At 37.5% G+C, this 24516-nt stretch overlaps 2 long non-coding RNA genes across 2 annotated transcripts in view; one reads left to right on the top strand and one right to left on the bottom strand.

Annotated features, from left to right (window-relative positions):
- The window catches only part of SNRPF-DT (SNRPF divergent transcript), a 63495-nt gene that overhangs the window by 35173 nt on the left and 3806 nt on the right, over positions 1-24516 (top strand). The window lies entirely within an intron of this gene.
- Positions 353-20570, bottom strand: LINC02410 (long intergenic non-protein coding RNA 2410). Its single transcript, NR_135016.1, has 2 exons — positions 20397-20570; positions 353-578 (listed from the first exon to the last, which is right to left on the bottom strand). It is a non-coding gene; the product is annotated as a long intergenic non-protein coding RNA 2410 (long non-coding RNA).

The following is a 24516-nucleotide window of genomic DNA, read 5'->3' as shown; positions in this document are numbered from 1 at the left end:
TGCTTTATCTTGTAAAAATATAAGCTACTTTCAAAGAGATTTTCTTTAGTAAGATTTTAACCATTAGATAAGGCATCTTATTTATCTTCAAACTCTTAAGTGACTTGCCTGGTGATCACCATATGAACACAATAATAATTGTGTCTTTTCCTATGAGGATATAAGCTTTATGAGGGCAAAATTTTATCCTTATTTCATTGTCCTAAGGTTGTTAACAAACCTTAGAACACTGTAACAAAATGGGGATGTTTAACAGGTTTTTAAATAATGATACTAATAGATGGCGTTTTTAATATGCCGAACAGGTATTATCCCTTAAATGAGTTATTGCATTAAATCCTCACAATAAACCTATAGGACACTGTGAACATTTTCATTTTATTGAGGTTTAGAGAGATTACAGAATTTCTTCGAGGTTACATAGCTTGAAAATGGTATGGCCAGGATTCCACCCAGGTCTGTCTGACTTCAGAGTTGAGACTCTACTGCTTTGATCTCCAAACTCAAAAAATATTTGGTGGCCAAATAAATGAATGAACTTCCATTTGCAGAAATTTGTAATTAATTCATCACTTTTCCTAGAAAAGAAAAGGATTTCTGAATTCACAAACATTTCCCTTAGAGAAAGAACAAGTACAAGTGCCTATGAGATTTATTTTACTCTATTTCAAAGATGCACCATTGTTCTATATACCAATTGTTTGTTGATTATAATTATAGATATCAGGTATGTATTAATATATGTATCAACTAAAATTATAGACACCATTGATTACTAGTAGTATCCCAAATTTAGAGACATTATAGTGTGTCCCTTAGAATGGGTAATAAATGTAATGTGTGAATATATAGGTTTTCTGTAATGCAATGCGAATTTTTTTCTGTAAGTTATGAGGCAGTACCATGCAGTGGTTAAGCACACAGACTATGGAGACAATCAGTGTGCCTGGTTTCAAGTCCCAGTTGTCTACTTATTAGCTTGTAGTCTAGAGAAAATCAGTCAGTTTCTCTGATTTTAGATACTTCATCTATTAAATGGGGATGAAAATAATATCTTCCTCTGGATCATTCAAGATATACTTCATTAGACCTAGTGAAGCATTTTTAGTTTAATTTCTAGAGCCTTTTGCAAAATATGGATCGGATCCATTGCTTAAAATACCTATCAGCTGTCAGAGGACATATTTCTGCTTGTATTTTTTTTTCAAGTTTGTCTTCTAGTTCAAAGATTTTTAACGGTTGTCAGGAAGTCTTCTTCAGTCCTATGATGCCCTAAAAACAGCCATCCTATCAGGTTATTGACCCTCACTGAGCTTATGGTAAGTTCGAACATGATGTTAATGAGACACGTTTCCATCCACTCACTTCCCACTATAAGCTAGTTAATTTTGCGTAAAGAAAACCTCCCATCCATAACTATAGCCTATAGTTCTCATTCCTTCCATCTAGGCAGGTTCTTGCTCCATATCTCTTTGCAATTGGAAGATATATATTCACTAATATTTTCTTGCTGTCTTGCTCTCTCTTCCACCTCATCAGTTAGTCTTTGCACAAATAAGCCTCTTAGCTCTATTCACAGAGCAAATGAACAGAATTCATCTTTGTTAGATGAGGTCTATGGCCCAGTGGATCTATTTGGAATATGCCAGACTATTTGTTAACTAGGGTGAGTTATAATGCATTTTTGGAGATGAAAAAAATGATGTCTTTTGCTCTCCTAGGAAATGTTTTTTAAGGTTAACTTTAGGAACTATAAGATGTGGGTTTTGTATGATTTTGTTGTTTGCAATTCTGACAGCTAAGAAAGAATAAAGATGCTAACAAAGGTTAACTTTGAACAGAGGATGTAAGAATGACCATTGTCTTTTTTGTACTCTTCTACATTTGAAACATTCTCCCTGGGAAAAGGATTCTAAATTCCTCCACCTGCTTGAAAAGGTCAGAAACCTCTTTCCAAAAATACTTTTTTATCCTCTTAATGCAATAGTCTCAACCCTGGCCACTCGTTAGAATCACCTGAAAACATGTTTTTAAAATCTCATGCCTGGAAGGATATGAACAGACACTTCTCAAAAGAAGACATTTATGCAGCCAACAGACACATGAAAAAATGCTCTTCATCACTGGCCATCAGAGAAATGCAAATCAAAACCACAATGAGATACCATCTCACACCAGTTAGAATGGCGATCATTAAAAAGTCAGGAAACAACAGGTGCTGGAGAGGATGTGAAGAAATAGGAACACTTTTACACTGTTGGTGGGAGTGTAAACTAGTCTGACCATTGTGGAAGACAGTGTGGTGATTCCTCAAAGATCTAGAACTAGAAATACCATTTGACCCAGCCATCCAATTACTGGGTATATATCCAAAGGATTATAAATCATGCTGCTATAAAGACACATGCACACGTATGTTCATTGCAGCACTATTCACAATAGCAAAGAGTTGGATCTAACCCAAATGTCCATCAATGATAGACTGGATTAAGAAAATGTGGCACATATACACCATGGAATACTATGCAGCCATAAAAATTGATGAGTTCATGTCCTTTGTAGGGACATGGATGAAGCTGGAAACCATCATTCTCAGCAAACTGTCACAAGGACAGAAAACCAAACACCGCATGTTCTCACTCATAGGTGGGAATTGAACAATGAGAACACTTGGACACAGAGTGGGGAACATCACACACCAGGGCCTGTCATGGGGTGGGGGAGGGGAGAGGGATAGCATTAGGAGAAATACCTAATGTAAATGACGAGTTAATGGGTGCAGCACACCAACATGGCACATGTATACATGTACCCTAGAACTTAAAAGTATAATTTAAAAAAAAATCTCATGCCTGGAACCAAACACAAAGATTCAAATTTAATGTTCTTAGGTGAGATTTGAGCATTATTATTGTTTAAAAGTGTCCCCCAGTGATTCTGATTTGCAGCCAATGAAATCCAATGAACTAATGTGTTGCCTTATCTAACTGTCTCTCTGATCTCTTAGTTCCTTGAGAAATGAACTAATGGTAATATTTCATTTTATTCCTTATGGAACACTCAACTAATATTTGTTGTTTGATTGAGACTAAGAGGATAAATAGAGACATGATCTGGACTTTACAATACAATGCATGCCATTGTAATCCATCAGAGATATGATTGGATTTTTTTTTGTATTATATCTCAGTGCCAATAATTTATTTTTTTATTAGCCTTGAGCTAAATTTTAATGCCTCTCTCTGTTACAGAAACTAGAAATTTTACATCCCTGACTGGAATAATAATATAACATGCTCCAGGTCCCTCATCAATCTGTTCAATGAATAGATGATTGGCTATATGCCAAGGGAATCTGCTGCCCTCTGGAGGGTATTGTGCTGTTAGAGATGAAAACACCGTTTCCCAGTGGATATTCCAAGGCACATGGGAAATTATGAAACAAAACCAATGCAACAAAAGAAAAAGGTGTCATGGTCATTTGGAAAATTCATAGCATTTGAAAAATGCCACACACTCTATCTCTCTGTAGGAAAGTCACACTGCAAATTAGCAAAACAGAGACTGAGAAGTTCTATAATAAGATATTTGTTTCCCAAACTAATTGGCCCACCTCCCATCCCACATACACACCTAATTTCTGTTAATATTTGGGAAACTAATATTCTACAAATAATATTTTGTATTCATAATCTACAAATTAATTAAATTAGGTATTTGGAGAAATTGAAGGAGAATAACTTAATGAAGGATTTCTTAAATAAACTACCAAAAAGGAAATATTGATGAAATGAATACATTAAAATGCAAAGATTCCGCATCCTATGCCATGACATATTAACTGGAGGGATGCAATCTGATGTGGCAGTGTGATGTGCCATGCTATTATATTCACGTTTATCTTTCTTCTTAGTGCTTATCCTAATGAAACATTTGAGATATTTATACCATTGCATAACAAATGGGCTTGTCATTTGTGCTTTGCAATAGAAGATGTTGACTTCAAGTACTATCATATTAGGTTAAAGATGTGTGAAGGATAGGCTGGGTGTGGTGGCTCACGCCTATAAATCTCAGCACTTTGGGAGGCTGAGGGGTGGATCACTTGAGCCTAGGAGTTTGAGACCAGCCTGGGCAATATGGCAAACCCCATCTCTACAAAAAATACAAAAATTAGCTGGGCATTGTGGCTTGTGCCTGTAGTTCCAGCAACTTGGGTGGTTGAGGTGGGAGGATAGTTTGAGCCTGGTGGATAGAGAGGGACAGAGGTTGCAGTGAGTTGAGATTGTGCCATTGCACTCCAGCCTGGGCGATAGATAGAACCAGACCTTGTCTCAAAAAAAAAAAAAAAAAAAAAGATGTATGAAGGACAGCAAGAGGCTAGGCAAGGCATAATGGAGTTCACCCTGAAGTTCAGTTAGTACAGAGTGGAGGCCCCAAGTATGCAACTCGGGCCGGAAAGATGACAAGTTTGGTGGAAATAAAAAATGTGTAGTCAGGAGGCTTGGGTTTCATTCTTTTGTGTCACTAATTTTGTGATCCTGGCTAACTACATAAAATCCTCCTCATCTGTAAAAGGAAATCATGCAGAGCTGTCTAACGGTTGAATGAGATACCACATATGAAAATGCTTCATACAGCCTCTGACATCATAGGCACTCAACGAATACAAGTTCAAGGTAAATATGATTTGTGAGCACAGAGAAAACACCAAACTAGACAGTCAAGAGGTCAACACAAGAGGAAGCAAAAACCACAGGATACATCTAAAGTGACCAACCATCCAGGCCAAGTTTGCCAGGGATGGTCACAGTTTTAGCACATAAAGTCTTGCATTTGGGGAAACCAGGTAGTTTGGTCCTGGGAAAACCAGGATGGTTGGCCATCCTAGCTCAGAACCTAGAATAGGAGCGCAAACAACAAGGATTGGACCCCAAGAAAAAACAAATGGCCAGAACGCAGGAATGGAGTATGGAAACACTAGGAATAATGGTCCTGATGCTGACCAATATTTCTCAGACAACAGATAGCAAAACAGGCTCAGCATGTGAGTAGGGATGAACCCATAGGTGGAAGTCAGTATACACACCTGACTTAACTGAGGGAACCTCAGGAGCCAGGTAGTGCTATGCAAGACAAATCTTACAAAGTTATTATTTTTTTCTTTTTTAAAGATCTGTCACTCAGGCTTGAGTGCAGTGGTGCCATCAAAGCTCACTGCGGCCTAAAACTCCTGGGCTCAAGCAATCCTCCTGCCTCAGCCTCCCAAATAATGCAATGGCAGACACATCACTGTGCTGGGCTAATTTTAGAAAAGTTTTTGTAGAGATGGGAGTCTCACTTTGTTTTCGAGGCTAGTCTCGAACTCCTGGCCTCAAGCAATCCTCCTGCCTTGACCTCCAAAAGTATTGGAATTACAGGTGTGAACACTGTGCCTGGCCCCAAATTAATTTCATAAGTGACTTTGGTGATGAGCTAAAATGAACAATGAGGAAAGGATGGTTTCTTCAATAAATAATGCTAGGACAGTCATTATCCATGATACAAAAGGAATCGAATTTTCTACCTCACACAATACAGAAAAGTTTATAATTTAGAAACCTAAATAAGGAAAAAAAAACTTTAAACATTTTAAGAGAAAATAAAGGAGAAAAGCTTAATAAAGATTTTAAGGCCAGGCACAGTGTCTCAAGCCTGTAATCCCAGCACTTTGGGAGGCCGAAGCAGGCAGATCACTTGAGGTCAGGAGTTCGAGACCAACCTGGCCAACATTGTGAAACACCATCTCTACTAAAAATACAAAAATTAGCTGGGCATCGTGATAGACGCCTGTAATCCCAGCTACTTAGGAGGCTGAGGTAGGAGAATCACTTGAACCCCAAAGGCAGAGGTTACAGTGAGCCAAGATCGTGCCACTGCACTCCAGCCTGGGCAACAGAGCAAGACACCGCCTCAAAAAAAAGGAAAAAGATTTTAAAATAAGCAATAAAAAGGGAAAGATTCATAAAGTTGATTATTTTTTGTTTATTTATTTATTTATTTTTTTGAGACAAAGTCTTGCTCTGTCGCCCAGGCTGGAGTGCAGTGGCACAATCTCGGCTCACTGCAGCCTCTGCCTCCTGGGTTCCAAGTGATCCTCCTGCCTCAGCCTCCTGGGTAGCTGGGATTACAGGCACACACCACCACGCCTGGCTAATTTTTGTATTTTTAGTAGAGACAGATTTCACCAGGTTGGCCAGGCTGGTCTCAAACTCCTGACCTCGGGTGATCCACCTGCCTTGACCTCCCAAATTGCTGGGATTACAGGCATGAGCCACCGCGCCCAGCCAAAGTCGATTGCTTTAAAATGAAAAGATGCCATGAACACAGTGAACAGCCAAGCCATAAACTGAGAAACAATATTTGCAATATATCAAGCCTACAAAGTACTTATATCAGCAAGTACTTAAAGGAAAATGCCAGCAATCCAGTAGGCATAGAATAGGAATAGGCAATTCACGGAAGAAACTTCAGTAGTAAAAACATATTTTTAAAAAGCTCGGCCGGGTGCGGTGGCTCACACCTGTAATCCCAGCACTTTGGGAGGCCGAGGCGGGTGGATCACAAGGTCAGGAGATCGAGACCATCCTGGCTAACACGGTGAAACCCCGTCTCTACTAAAAATACAAAAAATTAGCTCGGCGTGGTGGCAGGCGTCTGTAGTCCCAGCTACTCGGGAGGCTGAGGCAGGAGAATGGCGTGAGCCTGGGAGGCGGAGCTTGCAGTGAGCCGAGATCGCGCCACTGCATTCCAGCCTGGGCGACAGAGCGAGACTGTCTCAAAATAAATGAATAAATAAATAAATAAGTAACTCAGTTTTACTACTTGTCAGAGAAATGCAAATTGAAACCACAATGAGATAAGATTTTACATCAAGCAGATTGTCAGAAATTAAAAAGCCTGGCAATACCAAGTGCTGGCGAGAATGTGAAGCCACAGAAGTTTTCTTACACTTCTACTAGGGTGTAAATTGGTACAACCATCTTGGAGAGCAAATGCTCAATAGCTAGAGATGTTTTGAAAGTATACACTTGTGCAATACCTCCTCGTTGTGCAGTCTAGAGAAACTCGCAAATGTGTGCACAATGGGTCACGTATAAGAGTGTTCACTGTAGCATGGTTTGTAAGAGCAAGAGACTGAAAACACTCTGAATGTCCATCAGCTGTAAATTAAATAAATTGTTGTACAATTCATTCAATGGAATGCTAACATACAGCAGTTACAGTAAATGACTGAAGTTAGATGACCAATATCACGAAATCTCCAAAGCATAATATTAAACTAGAAAAAGTAAGTTGCAGAAATATTTGTACCATATGGTATCCCTTATATCAGCTATAAAATATGTGCAATATTATAAATTTTATGTGTACACAAATATGTAATAAAAATACAAAAAGTCACAGAGATAATAAACCAAATATTGATTACTTCTAAAGAGAACAAGATGGACATGAAATCAGAAATAGTTAATAAGGCATCAAATGTGTCTATTACATTTTATGTTTAAAATATCTGATGTAAGTAAAGCAAAACGTTAAGATTTGACAGAGTTGGGTGGTAGATACGTAACTGTTATTTCATTCTCTAGACTTTTCTGTAGGCGTTAAGCATTTTATTTTGAAAAAATAAAAACAATGTTATTAGCATTTAAATTCAGATTATTTCAGAATTACTCTAAAATATTTTTAAAAGCAAAACTATGCTTTCCGGAGTTGGCAACTTAACAAAGCCAAGTTTAACAGTCTGTTCAAAGAAAGTTAAAGTATGCCTTGTCCTGACACATATTTCACTGCCACTTAACCAACACTAGATGTCACTTTACTTCATGCATTTCATTTGAGAGTTTCTGGTTGAAATTAGATAAACTTGGGTATGTTTTATCATTTTCTTTCTCCAGTAGATACAGAGAATTATGAAAAATGAAAATGTTCTCTGCTATATATCCATCCAGAAAGACAAAGGACACGTGTATTTGGGTTTATCCTTTTATCCTTGGCACATACTGCTTATAATAGGGTTGCAAAAGTATTGTTAACCAAATAAACAAAGGATACAAGAAACTTTCGCAGAAGAAATGTTTAATATCCCCAATATGTATATAATTACATTTGGAACAGTTTTTCCTTCAAACGGCAGCGAGCTGTTGAAAGCACACCTTCCAGGGATTTGCAAGGGAAAGGTTACGACTCTAATTTCAAAGCCCGGCTTGTGGTCAGTGGAGAGAAGACACCATTTCAGATCTTTCAACCCAAAATTGTATCTCAGTTCATTGGAGCATTGGATCTCCAATAAGGACTGACAAATAAGAACTCCTTAAATCAATAATTGAACCTTTTTAGAAGGAGAGTGACCTTTGATAATCATGAAAATCGTGAACTCTCTGGAAATTTTCATCTAAACATATAAAAATCAGCCAGGTGCAGTGCCTCACACCTGTAATCCCAGCACTTTGGGGGCCACGGTTGGCGGATCACTTGAGGACAGGAGCTTGAGACCAGACAGGCCAACACAGTGAAACTTTGTTGCTACCAAAAAAATACAAAAATTAGCTGGGCTTGATGGCACGTTCTTGTAGTCCCATCTACTCGGGAGGCTAAGGCAGGAGAATCGCTTGAACCTGAGAGGTAGAGGTTGCAGTGAGCTGAGATCACACCACTGTACCCCAGCCTGGGTGACAGAGTGAGACCCTGCCTCAAAAAATTTTTTTATGAAAACATACAATTGTTACATGCAGGTTTTGCAGATTTGCAGACCTCCTAAAAGCTCATGCATGGACTCCAGATCAGGACCCCTTGACCAGAATGGATAAAAGCACTTGCCCAGGTTCCTTTCCCAAGCTTTCTTAAACTCTGCCAATAACTAGAATTTCAGCTGAGGCTGGCACGTATCATGTGAACTAAACAACGTGACTACGCAAATGAATGGAATGGAAACCAACCCTGTAAATTCAGGTAATTAACCAAACGTGGGCAGTGTCTACTTTGGAAATATTTGACTTATGGATAACAGTCAAAGTGTTTATATGTACATTTTTTCTAAGAATAATTAAGAAAAGAAAAAAGTAATAGATTTGTTTGCTGAAATATTTATTTGGAAGCTTGTTTTTCCGTGGGGAGCAAACCAAATCCTAGGAGTTGCTCCACATAATGTTTTCTAGTGCCTGAATAATTGTCCAACTGTTTTCATTTTACACCTTCTAACCGGAAAGAACTAGTTTATAATTTTGTTACTGACTTTCTTGCATCATAAATATTACAGAATAGCCCAAACTAGGTGAAATTAGTTCATTGTATGAATACAAATTAATGAAATTTCACTACATTATGTAAAGATACTCTAAATCAAATAAGCTTGAACTGCAGAGTCTTTCCCTCCAAATCAAATAAGCTTGAAACTCCTTTATATTCTTTGTTCTAGAGTCTTTCCTTATTAAAAAGACTTCTTAGGCTGGGCACGATGGCTCAAACCTGTAATCCCAGCACTTTTGGAGGCCAGAAGTTTGAGACCAGCCTGGGCAACATAGTGAGACCCTGCCTCTACAAAAAAGTTTTAGAAAATTAGCCAGGTGTGGTGGCACTGCCTATGGTCCCATCTACTTGGGAGGCTGAGGTGGGAGGATTGCTTGAGCCTGGGAGGTTGAGGCTGCGGTGAGCCATGATTGCACCACTGTACTCCAGCCTGGGCAACAGAGTCAGACTGTCTCAAAAGAAAAAAAGACCTCTTTCCAGGGACACTCTGTTCTGTTAGCCACATATCAAGTTTTCAAAAACAGGTGTTGAATGACAAAGAGGGTTCTTCTTCTTCTTCTTCTTCTTCTTCTTCTTCTTCTTCTTCTTCTTCTTTTTTTTTTTTTTAGTGAAACGGAGTTTCATTCTGTTGCCCAGAATAGAGGGTAGTGGTGTGATCGTGGCTCACTGCAGCCTTGACCTCCTGGGCTCAAGTGATCCTGTTACTTCAGGCTCTGAAGTAGGAAGGACTATAAGAAGGTGTCACCATGCTCAGCTAATTTTTTTTTTTTTTTTTTTGAGACAGAGTCTCACTCTGTTGCCCAAGCTGGAGTACAGTGGCATGATCTTGGCTCACTGCAACTTACGCCTCCTGGGTTCAAGCAATTCTCCTCCCTCAGCCTCCCGAATAGCTGGGACTACAGATGCCGCCACCACACCCAGCTAATTTTTGTATTTTTAGTAGAGATGGGGTTTCACCATGTTGGCCAGGCTGGTCTCGAACTCCTGACCTCAGGTGATCCACCCGCCTTGGCCTCCAAAAGTGCTGGGATTACAGGCATGAGCCACCACGCCCAACTGCTCAGCCAATTTTTAAAATTTTTTGTATTGATGGTGTCTTGCTACGTTGCCAAGGCTGTTCTCAAACTCCTGGGTTTAAGCAATCCTCCTGCCTCAGTCCCCCAAAGTGTTGGGATTACAGGTGTGGGCCACCACACCTGGTCAGCATTCTTCTTTATCATGATCACCCTGTTACTGAAAGTACGTTATAGGCTATAGTTACAATAGATAAATTGGGCCAATTTTTAAGAAGTATCATTTTACTCACTGGAGATTATGTTAACGCCATGAGAATGGTAAAACCAGGGTTTGTTTTTCTTCTGTTATGCAACTTTGCTATATGTACTAGGCATATAAAGTAAAACAGTAGTATATTAGAGTCCTGATTTGGTGCAGTGATCATTTATAGGCTTAGCTGGTCATAGCACCCATTGTGAAATTACATGCGGAAAATGGATCCTGTTTTAAGAGAACAGAATCTAACTTGGATTCTAATTCTTCAACCACCAAAAACTTCCACACCTCTTTCTAGGAGATACAGAAAAATATATGCCCTTTATTGGAGTCATAAAGAGCTCTACATTCAGAGTTCTGTTTCCTTAAGGCAAAGAACCTGAATGCTAACCCTTCTTTGTTTGTAATTGACAAAAACCGTAGGATGTTTTCTTAAAGAAAATTATCATTATATATATATTTTTCTCCAGAGTTAAAATGTTGATACTGATAATTTTCTTTAAGAAAATATCTTAGGGATATTGTCAATTACAAACAAAGGAGGGTCAGTACTCAGGCATTTTAACTCTGGAGAAAAGTTTATATTTTCACAACTAAATACTTCACCATTTATCCAATAAAATCTGTAAATTTTCAGTTATTGATTTAACTATTTCTCTCTGACTTTAGAACTTGATATCATTTGACTGTTATCACAAGTACTTGATTTAATGGCCATGTTTTTCTCTAGACGATATCATCCTACATGAGTCATGGTAGGCTTAGTCAACAGACTTGTATTTCTTTTTGTTTGTTTGTTTGTTTGTTTGTTTTTGAGACAGAGTCTCACTCTGTCACCAGGCTGGAGTGCAGTGGCGCGATCTCACCTCACTGCCACCCCTGCCTCCCAGGTTCAAGCAATTCTCCTGCCGCAGCCTCCCAAGTAGCTGGGACTACAGGCATGCACCACCACGCCCAGCTAATTTTTGTATTTTTAGTAGAGATGGTGTTTCACTATTGGCCAGGATGGTCTCGATCTCTTGAACTCATGATTTGCCCACCTCGGCCTCCCAAAGTGTTGGGATTACAGACATGAGCCACTGCTCCTGACCTTGTATTTCTATTTCTATAGCCATGATTCTATAATCTTATTTGATCATTCCATCAATTTATGGTTCTGTAGTAAAATATTTTGTTTGTATATGTTCATATCATGTACCAAATGTAAGTGTTCATTTTACCATAATTTCTTGACACTTTAAAAATTGTTAGCATTTTCTAAAGTTTAGAATTATTCAGCTTGGGGGGAAGTTCAGTGAGGACTGCTGGTGGTGGATAGCATGAGACCTGGGTAATACTGAAAACAGCTCTGTGTCTAAGCTGCTCCTTGGATCAATAGACTTTCTTTCTGGGCCAAATTATAGCTCCTTTTCATTGACAGGTGAACATCTCAATATCTTGTAGCCTTTTCTCCTTCTTAGAAAACATGATAGAAATAAATGGGTGAATCCAAAGCAGTATAATTTTAGCAAACAGAAAAGATATTACACTCCTTCTGGAGTGTAATGGCATGATCATAGTTTACTGTAGCCTCGGGGCTTGAGTGAGCCTCCCACTTCAGCCTCCTGAGTAGCTGGAACTATAGGTTTGTGCCACCATGCCTGGCTAATTTTTGTTATCTTTAGTAGAGACGAGGTCTCAGTATGTCACCCAGGCTGGTCTCCAACTCCTGAGCTTAAGCAATCCTCCCTCTTCTGTCTCCCAAAGTGCTAGGATTACAGGTGTGAGCCATCACGCCCAGCCCCTTATTAATTTTAAACTTTCATGTATTCCTTTGGAGAATGTCTTTCTTGCCCCTTTTTAGCATATCCAAACCTTATCATAGTCGCCATCCAGCTTTTTTTTTCTTTTTCTGGGTCTCCCAGTCTCTAGCATGTTTTATTGCCTTATAGTAGTTTCTCATTGCTTTATGTGCAAATTATTACATGCCAAATCAGATTGTATGCCTCTTGAGAACAATCTTGTGCTTTATTTACCAAGCTTGGTAAACGCTGAATATATAATCTACTTTCCTTGCATTTAATTATCACTAAAGAGTTGATTCCCAATTTACTTTATCCCCTACCATTTATGCATTTTGTTGGGAAATGTTTACTTATGTGCTGGGAAACATAAATAAAGCCCAAGATTGTTCTCAAGAGGCTTACAATCTGATACAAATTCATAAACTTTCTTAAAACATTATGAGATTTTTTTTTTGCTTTTTTCTTTTTCTTTTTCTTTTTTTTTTTTTAGCTCATCAGCTTTCTTTAGTGTTAGTGTATTTTATGTGTGGCGCAAGACACTTCTTCTTCTTCCAGTGTGGCTCAGGAAAGCCAAAAGACTGGACACCCCTGCATTAGACTATTAATAAGCAGTTCTTATTTCTGAAGAAGCTTTGGGTCATATTCTTCTCTCCTTTTTTTGGCCTGATCTACTGTAGGTGAACATTTGTAGATTAGCTGGTTCCCCTTCATTCCTTCTCTTCTGAAATGTGTGGTAAAGTAAAAATGCCTAAGGCAATAATTTGTGGATAAAAACGGCTGCACATGAAAAATAATTGATGTGGTTTAAAAATTACTCTGAGGTGGAAAATAAAATGCCTTTTCAACCTACACTCTAAAAAGAGTACTAAAGCTAATTCTTTATAAATCATGGAATGGAAGCAAAGAAAGACACATTTTTGGGTAGTCAATCAATTTTAAATAAGGAGAGTTTTTAAATTTTGTATAAAAAATTAAAAAATGTTCAGTTCCCTAAAAGGACATAGCTGAAGATGAAGAAAGTCTTAACTACACCCTTAGCAATGTGAGTTTAATGTTTTCTATAATTATAAATATGAAAGCTGATCACTTTGGTTTCTTTATAAGTTAATCATTTTAAACATCACACACCAGGGCCTGTTGGGGGCTTGGGGGCAAGGGGAGGGAGAGCATTAGGACAAATAACCTAATGCATGTGGGGCTTAAAACCTAGATGACAGGTTGATAGGTGCAGCAAACCACCATGGCACATACAAATGTATGTAACAAACCTGCATGTTCTGCACACGTATCGCAGAACTTAAAGTAAAATTTAAAAATAATAATAATAAGTTAACCTTTTTTAAAAAAATGCCTTTGTAGTTTTAGCTTTTTTCTATTATGTCTCTGCAACTTTCCTGGGAGTGACCCAAACGCAAACATTCTCTGCTTATGGTACTTCCCAAGGTGCTCTTGTCACTGTAGTGCTGCCCCAATGCCACCTACACCTGGCCTGCATGTGTGTTTACGATGCTAAACATTGGGATGGGACTAGAAGGTTCAACAAGATACATCAACGTGACACAGATACTATTTGATTGATTTTTTTTCTTCTTATGTAGATCTATATAGAGCCATCCTTTCTAAACTTATAAAAGTGCTTTTGTTTTAGTCACTTATTTCTTCATCTGAAATTCTTTGCTCTAGAACAGGGGTCCCCAACTCCTGGTCCGTGGCCTGTTAGGAACCAGCCTGCACAGCAGGAGGTGAGTGGCCGGCCAGCATTACCACAAGAGCTCCGCCTCCTGTCAGATTAGTGGCAGCAATAGATTCTCATAGGAATTCAAACCCTATTGTGAACTGCACATGCAAGGGAGCTAGGCTGCAGGCTCTCTATGAGAATCTAATGCCTGATGATCTGAGGTGGAACCGTTTTATCCCAAAACCATCCCCCCACCGACCCCGTCCATGGAAAAATTGTCTTCCGTGAAACCAGTCCCTGGTGCTAAAAAGATTGGAGACTGCTGCTCTAGAAGATGCACTTGTTAAGAGAATTCTAATTCCTTGGTTTTTTTTATTTAAAGAATGAGTAATATTTTTTAAAGTCCAATACTTTTCTTTAAAAGGAAATTAAGCAGGAAATAGGAAAGAGTTTAGTCATTATCCTTTAAATTGCTGTATCTCATAGCTAATTCACACCAGAAGCCTAAAAATTAAGCAGCATTAAAATGTGATCATTCACTAGCATTTTTCACTGCTTGATTTGAGGCTGTTGTTAATTTCAATACTCATAGTGGTAGCTAAGCATAAAAATTAAAAATATATACATGTATTTTAAAAAATCTTTAAGCTTTATGATTTATGATATTTAGCAGTGTCTGTATATAAAGATAAAAATAGTCTAAGTATGTATCATATTTGTTATAGCCTAATAGTTTACTTTGTTAGTGAGGGAATTTACTAGTCAATTATATAAACATTATAATTGAAGCCTATGCATGGATTTTGAGAAAAGAAATAGGCTGAGATAATGAAAGGCAGTGATCTTAACTAAACATCTAAAGATTAAAATAGAATTAAAGCAATAACTACAATATATTACAATTAGCAATAACTACAATATATTACAATTACAATATACTACAATATATTACAATTAAAGCAATAACTACAATATATTAAAATTAGGCTGACATAAAGCCTTTAATTTCAACCATGTAATATTCAGCCATGTAAAATAAGTATGTTAAATAAGTATTAAATATATTTTGGACATTTAGAGTAAGGAAATGTAAATGTTTCTCTATGAACATTTTACTAATAAACTTGTAAAAATCAACTGGCAAAATATATTTTCTTAACTATATGGAAAAAGTATAAAAGAAACAACTTATATAAGTACATACTATGTGCAAGACACTCTTCCTAGAACTTTATGTGCAATGATGACTCATTTAGTCCTTGATATGGTTTGACTCTGTGTCCCCACCCAAATCTCGTCTCGAATTGTGATCCCCACGTGTGTAGGGAGGGACCTGGTGTGAGAGGTGATTGGATCATGGGGGCGGATTCTCCCATGCTGTTCTCGTGATAGTGAGTGAGTTCTCAAGAGATCTGATGGTTTAAAAGTGTGTGGTGGTTCTCCCCGCTCTCTCTCTCTCCTGCTGCCCTGAGAAGAAGGTCCCTGTTCCCGTTTGCCTTCCACCATGATTGTGAGATTTCTGAGGCCTCCCAGTCATGCTTCCTGTTACGTCTGTGGAACTGAGTCAATTAAACCTCTTGTCTTCATAAATTACCCAGTCTCAGGTAGTTCTTTATAGCAGTGTGAGAACAGACTAATATAGTCCTCATAAGAAATCTCTGAGAGAAATACTCGTAGTATCCCAATTTACAGATGAGGAAACTGAGGCATAAAGAAGATAGATAATTTGCCCAAAATCACTCTGCTAGTGAGTGGGATTCTAACCTAGAGTTAGAACATGAGCGTCTAGGCTCCTAATCATTTCACCATTCTGCTTTTGCAGCATGATCAGTAATCTTTTAATTCACTTTGGTTAGAGCAATTAAAAATGTCTGGTTAAAATAACAAATTATGGTGAGTTAGTATTATTACATTATTACTATCACAACATGGAATTACCCAAATAAGTTGTATAGAATTTTTAAAAATATGAGTACATTGCTGGACGTCACATCCTTAGGCTTCAGGAACTGAAGACACATTGCAATTTACTCTAGGCTAATTAGCAAAAAAGAAAAAAAGCACCACTGCACCTGGTAGGAAAAAGATAAATAATAGTTAATTTTTATTAAATGCGTATGATGTGTCAAGCATTATTCTGAGTGCTTTAATTAATGTATTTAATCCTACCACAATCTTCTAAGATATGTGTTATTATTACTCCCATTTTATGAATGAGGCTTAGTGGGAGTAACATGTTCACCCTGCCCTCTCCCTCCTCTATTCTTCATTGTTGGAGAGTTCAGAATCTTGGTTGTTTTCTTGTTTTTTACTGGTGGGTGATTTTAAAATTTTTAGGTGGCTTTTGCTGGTAAAGAAAGTTGCAACCTTTGGTTAAAGACTGAGTTGAGGCTGAGCGCAGTGGCTCACGCCTGTAATCCCAGCACTTTGGGAGGCCGAGGCAGGCGGATCACAAGGTCCGGAGTTTAAGACCAGCCTGGTCAATGCATTGAAACCCCTTCTCTACTACAAAAATTAGCCGGGCGTGGTGGCATATGCCTGTAGTCCCAGCTATTCAGGAGGCTGAGGCAGAAGAATTGCTTGAACCCAGGAGGCAGAGGTTGCAGTGAGCCAAGATCATGCCACTGCTCTCCAGCCTGGGTGACAGAGTGGGACTCCGTCTCAAAAAAAAAAAAAAAAAAAAAAATGAGTTGAAGGATAATTGCTGCTTCATGACAGAATTTTAAGAAAATGGCTTTGAAGGCATTTTGCTTTCTGCCAGTAGTGTTACTACTGCATGATCTGGTTTAGTACAATAATAATGACCAGGAGCTCTGGCATCTAATTTTTCAAATCCTGGCTCTGCCTCTGTCTTAGAAGCAGAGGTTCCTGTTCCTGCTGCTATAACAAAATACCTTACACTAGGTAATTTATAAACAACAGAAATTTATTCTTCATAGTTCTGGAGGCTGAAAAGTCCACCATCAAGGCAGCAGCAGATTAGATGTCTGGTGAGGGTCCCCTCTCTGCTTCAAAAATCACACCTTCTCAAGAAATCCTCCCATGGCAGAAGGGTGTGAACAGGGCAAACAGGCTTTCTCCAGTACTAAGGGCACTAATCCCATTCATGAGGTGACTCAATCACCTTCCACCTCCTAATACCATCACCTTGGGGGTTAGGTTTCAACACATGAATTTTGGAGGAACACAAACATTCAGACTATAGCAGCCTCTTCTTAGGTGATCTTGTGCAATTTCTTGAATGGATTATACAGAAACATCCCTGCTCTGTTAGTGTTCCTGGGGTAAGGGTAGGAGAGGGTCATGGGTTGGGATAGGAGGAGAGCTGATTGAGAAAGGGAATGAAAGAGGCCGGAGGCTATAAAAGTATCTAAAATTGTTTCCTCCTAACCTCATTCGACATTTTCCCTTACTTACTTGATGTTTTCTGTTTGCTTAATGATGAAATCTGTTTGATTCCTGTCAGCTTTTTCTTAGTCATATGAGAACTTTCTAGAACTAATGGGGTTGCATGAGAACTGACTTCCAGGCCCACCCATGCTGTTACAGTGAGATCACTTTTTGTAGCACTAGTTCTCGTTCTGCTTGCCATCTTTCCTGATGTGTCACCAATATTGTCTGTGAACCACACCCACAAAAACAACTCAGAAACAGATTTTCTTGAACCACATGTGACGTTGGCAAAGTGTGGTATTTTTAAGTAGGCCACATAGCTATCTAACCGATCACTCTTCCTCCATTGTGAACAAATATATATTGAGAACTTACCCTGTGCCTGGCACCAGTGATAGAAAGACAAATATCCCTGGCTACTTCGTATTAGCAGCAAGCCTAGTATGCCTTATACACTGCCAGGGTAGATGGTTTTTATTTTTTTTAAGTTAAGTTGCTTTCCAACTCTTGACTGTGCATAACTTTTTCTTATAACCTGTGGTCTCTATTTTTGCCTTCTGTTTAGCTCTTTCACTAGTATCATTACTTGCAAATATGCCAGAGCATCTCAACTTTATTCTACCAGGATCACGATTGATTTATATTCTTCTTTTGGCTCCTTGCAGTGCTTTTTTCTGCTAGTGCAAGCTATTTACATGCACTTACTCTGCACTTTGCACACATTATTCCCCTTGTGGTATTACCCCCTGTGAGGTCTAGACCTGTGCTATCCAGTACTGAATGAATAAGATATTCCACAAATACATATACTATATATAGGTGTCTATCTATCTATCTATCTATCTATCTATCTATCTATCTATCTGTCTATCTATAGTCTCTCCATATTACCTATAATGTATATTATATATATGTAACTTAAAACTCTAGATATGCAGCTAAAAAATGAACTGGCTATAGTCTTTGCCCTTTTTAGTATTTAACTAAAGACCTGCCTTTCTAAAGAAAGCTTCTGGTTTCAATCGGATAAAATTAATTTTTGACCTTGCTTGTACATGGGATGAGAGTTTATAAAGTTATAATATAATTGGCAATCTTGTGTCACTGTAAGTTTGACATATATCATTTGTTAGTGAGAAAGCAGAAGCTATGCTATGAAATCCTCTCCCTCTCTGCTTTGAAGAAATTTTTATGGCAGAAACTAAACTATAATGCAGCTTAAACTTGGAACTAAGCCGAACAACTTGGATTCATGGGCATATCAGCATCATTATGATGGTGATGATCATGATGATCATTACTACCTTACCATTATCATCTCATCACAAGTATTATTATTACTACTAATGAGAGTTGTAATTATATTACTTTTATGTTGATTCTTTCTCCAAAATGAATTCCTCCCCTCTCTTCCCATTTTTTTACCTCGTCCTAATTGTGTTTATAGAAACAGAAGTGACAATTTACTTAATTACATAATACTAAACAAAAGAATATTGTATCAACACTGATTTGGCATGGAATGAGGTTGCCTATTAAAGCTGTATTATCATAACATATCTCCCAGACATGATATTTTTTCTGCTTGCAGCCAAAAGTAGAAATTTTTTTGAAACACATTTAGAGTTGTTTCTGGAGTTAGGCATTAGTAGATTATCACTAATTGCTTGAGAGACCCCACAGTCCTAATTAGACGGAAAAGTGAAATGCAGAGGCGGGGCTACCACAGTCAGCCTTGAAGATTGCGTGCTGCAGAATCCCAGGGCTTGCTACTCACATGATGTGAATGGCATTCCCAACATTGTGCAGCAGAGCAACCTGCACATTTGGAAGTACTGAGAATATTGTAGGAAAAAATAAAGAACATTTCATGAAAGCATTTGGTAGATCCATGGTCATCTCATTGTCTTTGAAGGTAAATTTTATTTTTAAATTTAATTCTTTCTAGAAGCCATGAATATTAAGAAGTATAATAATTTGAAAAGAGAAAAAAGTTCTTGGTAGGAGATTCTACAATCAATATTCAATTTCACAAAAGTACACCATTAGAAATGAGAAAAGCAAATGTAAAACTTGGACTTAGAGTGTGTAAAGGGCAAATCAACTAGTAGAGAAGGTAAACATAGGAGAAAAGAGTTAAGAAAAGAAATGACTCTAGCAATAGTGCAGATTACATAGCTTGAATTCTCTCGGTACAAAACATCTAGTTGCCAGCTAAAAAACAAACATTTTAAAGCATATTGTTTGCCTCACAAAGATAATAAAGGAAATCACCAGTCCTCCAATATTGTGACTATTCAAAATGTACTACATATTCTAGCCAGTGTAATTAGAAAGGAAAAACAAATAAAAATTGTAAAGATTGGAAAGAAGAAATAAATGGTCCCTAAATGTACACAATATGGTTGTTTATATGGAAACATGGAGTTAGGCATAAGAGACTACAAATTATTAGAATTAGGAATTTAGTAAGGTTGCTGGATATAAGATCAATAGACAAAAATCAATGACATCCCCATACAGCAAAGATTAAGAAATATTACTTTTAAAAATATATCATATATAAAAATAATCAAAAATATGTATAGTAATAAATCTAATAAATGATTGGCAAGATTTTTATGTAGAAAATTAGGCAACTTTGTTGAAATGTCTTTAAGAGGACCTAAATACATGGAGAATATATGATGTTCATAAAAATGTAAACTAAATTCCCTAAAGATGTAAATACTCCTTAAATTAACTATAAATGTAATACAATTCCAATTCAACCCAACCCAACAGATCTGAGTAGTGGAATAGAATTGAGTTGCTGGTATTTGAGGCGAATCTGGAATTCTTTTGAGAGCCTAGTATAATTAACGGTGCCTCTGATAGAAAAAATATTCCCTGTAAATTTTGTTATCAAAAGGATGAATACTCAGATATAGGTTGCAAATAGAAAATCTACCTTATTTACCAAGAACTTGAATATTTACCTCAACATAAGAAACTAAGGATATGATGATTTCTTGGCAAAGGAATTGCTGTGTCAGTTGCAAGATGGCATTTTTCATCCATGACTCAGAAGTCTGGAATACCTGCCCAGTGCCTCATATGGATATAGACTCTAGGCTTCCAGACCCAGAGAGGAGAATGTTTTAGCAAGTGCATACTGCCACACATGAGAGCATCCAAAGCATCCAAAGTTATCTGAACTACTATACCTCACCCAGAGGCTACCTGTTAAACTATAACAGGCATGCCACCTGTGCCTTCAGAGGCCAATAAGTGATCTTTGAACAGGGTTGGAGTTAAAAAGTAAACCTATCCTTCACGTTTCTGCACTGTTAAAACTAAAGTACTTATAACAACGGACTTGATATGACTCTGCGGTCAATGTTTGCTTCTAAGATTGGCTCATTGTTTACATTTTAAAGGAAGAACACATTTGTTATGAAAAAGTTTTTCCGAATAGTGTGATTGCTTTGGAAGCAGCTCTTAAAACTGTAACACTATGTAATTGGCCAAACTTTCTGTACTACAGTTACCCTTCCAACTCTATAACTGTGAGTTTTTGGTATTTTTCAGTGAAAAGAGAGCCAGTTCAAAACATAAGATTATATAGATGTCTTTTAAAAGAGTTATACTATCACTTTTGTGTTAAAAAACAAGAATTCCAAAGAACGCCAATAAAGATTAAAATCTTCATCAACAAGCATTTATTTTCTCAATAGGCATGAAAGCATTACATAAAATATGGAAAAAATCTCAGACTGGTGATGTGTTTGGTGTGTCCTTTCAACAACTTCTTCTGTGTTTCTGGCTCACCCTCTTACCCTGCTTTTCCTCTCTTACATCCTCTTCATTGTGGAAAGAGGTAATAGATACAAACCAAAAACTTCATGGAAAGCATGCATGGCAGTCTGTTTCCTACAATATACACTAAAAGTGTAATTAGTTTCCTATTTACTTTTCTCTTCTGTTGTTTACTAGTTGCTAACAGTGACTATCATTTGAAAAGGGTGAAAATAGTAAAGCTATAGATGATCTGAACAGATCAGTCAATTTGACCTAGTGAACGTTTATCAAATACTTCAATAACAGCTGAATTACACATTCTTTTCAAATTCACAAGAAATATACACCATGATAGGCCATATGCTGGGCCATTAAACATACTTTAACAAATTTAAAAGAATAGAAATTATACAAAATATGATCTCAGAAAAGTTAGCTGGAGAATCCCCAAATATCTGCAAATTAAACAATGTGTTTCTAAATAACTCATGAGCCAAAGAAGAAATCTCAGGAGAAAATTTTAAATATTTTGAATTAAATGTAAATAAAAGTACAACTTATCAAAATTCACAGGACACAGCAAAAGCAGTGCTTAGAGGGAAATTTGTAGCATTAAACGCATATATTAGAAATGGAGAAAGGTCTAACTTCCTTAGGAAATTGGAAATTCATTCCATCTTAGATAATTAGTAAAAAGGGTGAAATAAAACTGATTAGCAAGCAAAGAAAAAAATTCAATTTTACATATAATCTAATAAAAGAAATACTAATACAAATATCACTTTTCACATACTAAATTGGAAAATTTATACTTTTAAAGTATAATATTCAATGCTGGTATGGGTGAGGTGAAATAGGCACCATACCTTAGTGATAGTTGTACAGATGGATGCAGCATTTTTGGAGAGAAATTTGACAATGTGGCCTAAATGTAACTTTTCTTTGAGCTGATATTTTCATTTTAATGATGATAAGAAAATAAAAATTAAAAAAACTCAAATTAACAAAATGTTTAACAGAGATAGCTATAAAACTATTATGAATAATAGCAAAAATCTGAAAATAACACAAAAGTATAATAAGGTAGATCCACTCACTGGAACAGTATATGGCCATGAAAACTGATGTTTGTGTAGAATTTCTAATAACTTAATAATAAGTGAAGAAAGGCCGGGTGCAGTGGCTTACGTCTGTAATCCTAGCACTTTGGGAGGTCGAGGCAGGTGGATCACCTGAGGTCAGGAGTTTGAGATCAACCTGACCAACATGATGAAACCCCATCTCTACTAAAAATACAAAAAATTAGCCGGGCATGGTGCAGACACCTGTAATCCTAGCTACTCATGAGCCTGAGGCAGGAGAATCACTTGAACTTGGGAGGCGGAGGTTGCAGTGATCCGAGATCACGTCACTGCACTCCAGCCTGGGCAGCAAAAGCGAAACTCCATCTAAAAAAATTTAAAAAGTAAAGAAAACATGGAACAAAAATTGTATGGCTATATAGGCTAGATATAAGATTAGAAGGAGCCATACCAAAATGAAAGCTGGTTTTATTAACGGTAGAGGGTGTCCAGGTTCTTGGTGTCCTAAACAAAGAATTGGACAAAACATACAAACAAAGCAAGGAAGGAATGAAGGGTTTTATTGAAAATGAAAGTACGCTCCACAGTGTGGGAGTGGCCCTGAGCATAGAGGCTCAAAGGCCCAGTTACAGAATTTTTGGGAGTTTAAATACCTAGAGGATTCCATTGGTTACTTCAGGTACACCCTATGTAAATGGAAAGGATGAAGTAAAGTTACAAAGTCATTTACAGCCTATGCCCTATGGAGACGATATTTCCTGTTATAGCTGAAGTATGAGTCAGCCTTATGCTCCCTGCCTCCAGACCCTATTTTCCTGCCTCAGTTTCTTTGGAAGATGGGTTTGCCCTACTAACTGCTTTTCTGTTATTTCCCAAAGACCCATGATGAACACAGTGGTTTCACTCATGGGCTTTGGAATCCAGTGGTTGGGTTACAGTCTCAGCTCTATTATTTACTAGTTGGGTGAGTCTCAGTTCTCATTTGTAAAGCAAGGATGACAATTGACAGTCTCTCCCTAGGGTGACTAAGAAGTCTGAAGGTGATCTTGTATGTAGAGTGTTTAGCACAAGGCCTGCTGTATATTAAGTCCCCAATAAATGCTAGCTATTTGTTATTGGTTATAATGAGGAAAAAATTTCTATCAAAAGTAAGCACATTAGGGCCAAGTGCAGTAGCATATGCCTGTAATCCCAGCACTTTGGGAGGCCGAGACGGGCAGATCACCTGAGGTCAGGAGTTCAAGACCAGCCTGGCCAACATGGTGAAACCCCGTGTCTACTAAAAATACAAAAAAAATTAGCCGGATGTGGTGGTGCATGCCTGTAATCCCAGCTACTCAGGAGGCTGAGGCAGGAGAATCACTTGAACCTGGAAGGCAGAGGCTGCAGTGAGTCAAGATGGCGCCACCACACTCCAGCCTGGGTGACAGAGCAAGACTCCATCTCAAAAGAAAAAAAAAAAAGATAAGCACCTTAGGACAGGCTCACCCAGATTTGCACAGGGAAGTTTTCCTTTCTCTGTTGGACTCTATTGATGTATTTCTTTGAATGAGTTGCATTTTCAAGATATTTATTTACTGATTGCAGGATATCTGGAGTTTACAAATGGGGCACTTAAATTTCCTTTTGTATACCAAAAAACAGGACACACGGAGAAACAATAAGTATATTTGATTGTCTTTGTGTATTTAAAAGTGCTATATCCAAGACCGTACCAGTGAGACTGAGAAAGGAATTCAAAGCTACTGACTTTAGCTACTTATTACCTCAAGTCTGCAGGCTGTGATTTTTTAAATTTCAGAGTAAGAGATAATAATCTGTACCTCCTTCACCCTTCCTATAGGGTCATTAATAGACTGGGAACTCCCCTGCCACTTCAGGATTCTTTTCAATGTAAAATTTAATATTATTTTGAAAGTGTTACTATAGCTTTAAAGGATTTCATTACCAAAGAAAGAATTCTGTTCATGATAGAAATATCATGCATTTTAAGAAGAATTCATCTTTTTTAAAAAAAAAAGATTCCTTTTTCTCTGTTTGCAATAAATATTGTATTCATTCAAACATTTCTGAAGGAGGACAGATAGTGGGGAAATGATGTGCTTTTTCTTTACGATGAAGGAATCTTCAATAGTTATGTTAGAGAGACTTACTACATGCATAAAAAAGTGCTTGGGCTTCAGAGCAATTAATATTTTTGTATTAATTTGGCTTTAAAGTTTTAATTCCTTAAATT

Source organism: Homo sapiens, chromosome 12 (assembly GCF_000001405.40).
Source record: "Homo sapiens chromosome 12, GRCh38.p14 Primary Assembly".
In the NCBI taxonomy this organism is placed as follows: domain Eukaryota; kingdom Metazoa; phylum Chordata; class Mammalia; order Primates; family Hominidae; genus Homo; species Homo sapiens.
The sequence above is the reverse complement of the archived record's forward strand: the minus strand, read 5'-3'. Positions and strand labels throughout refer to the sequence as shown.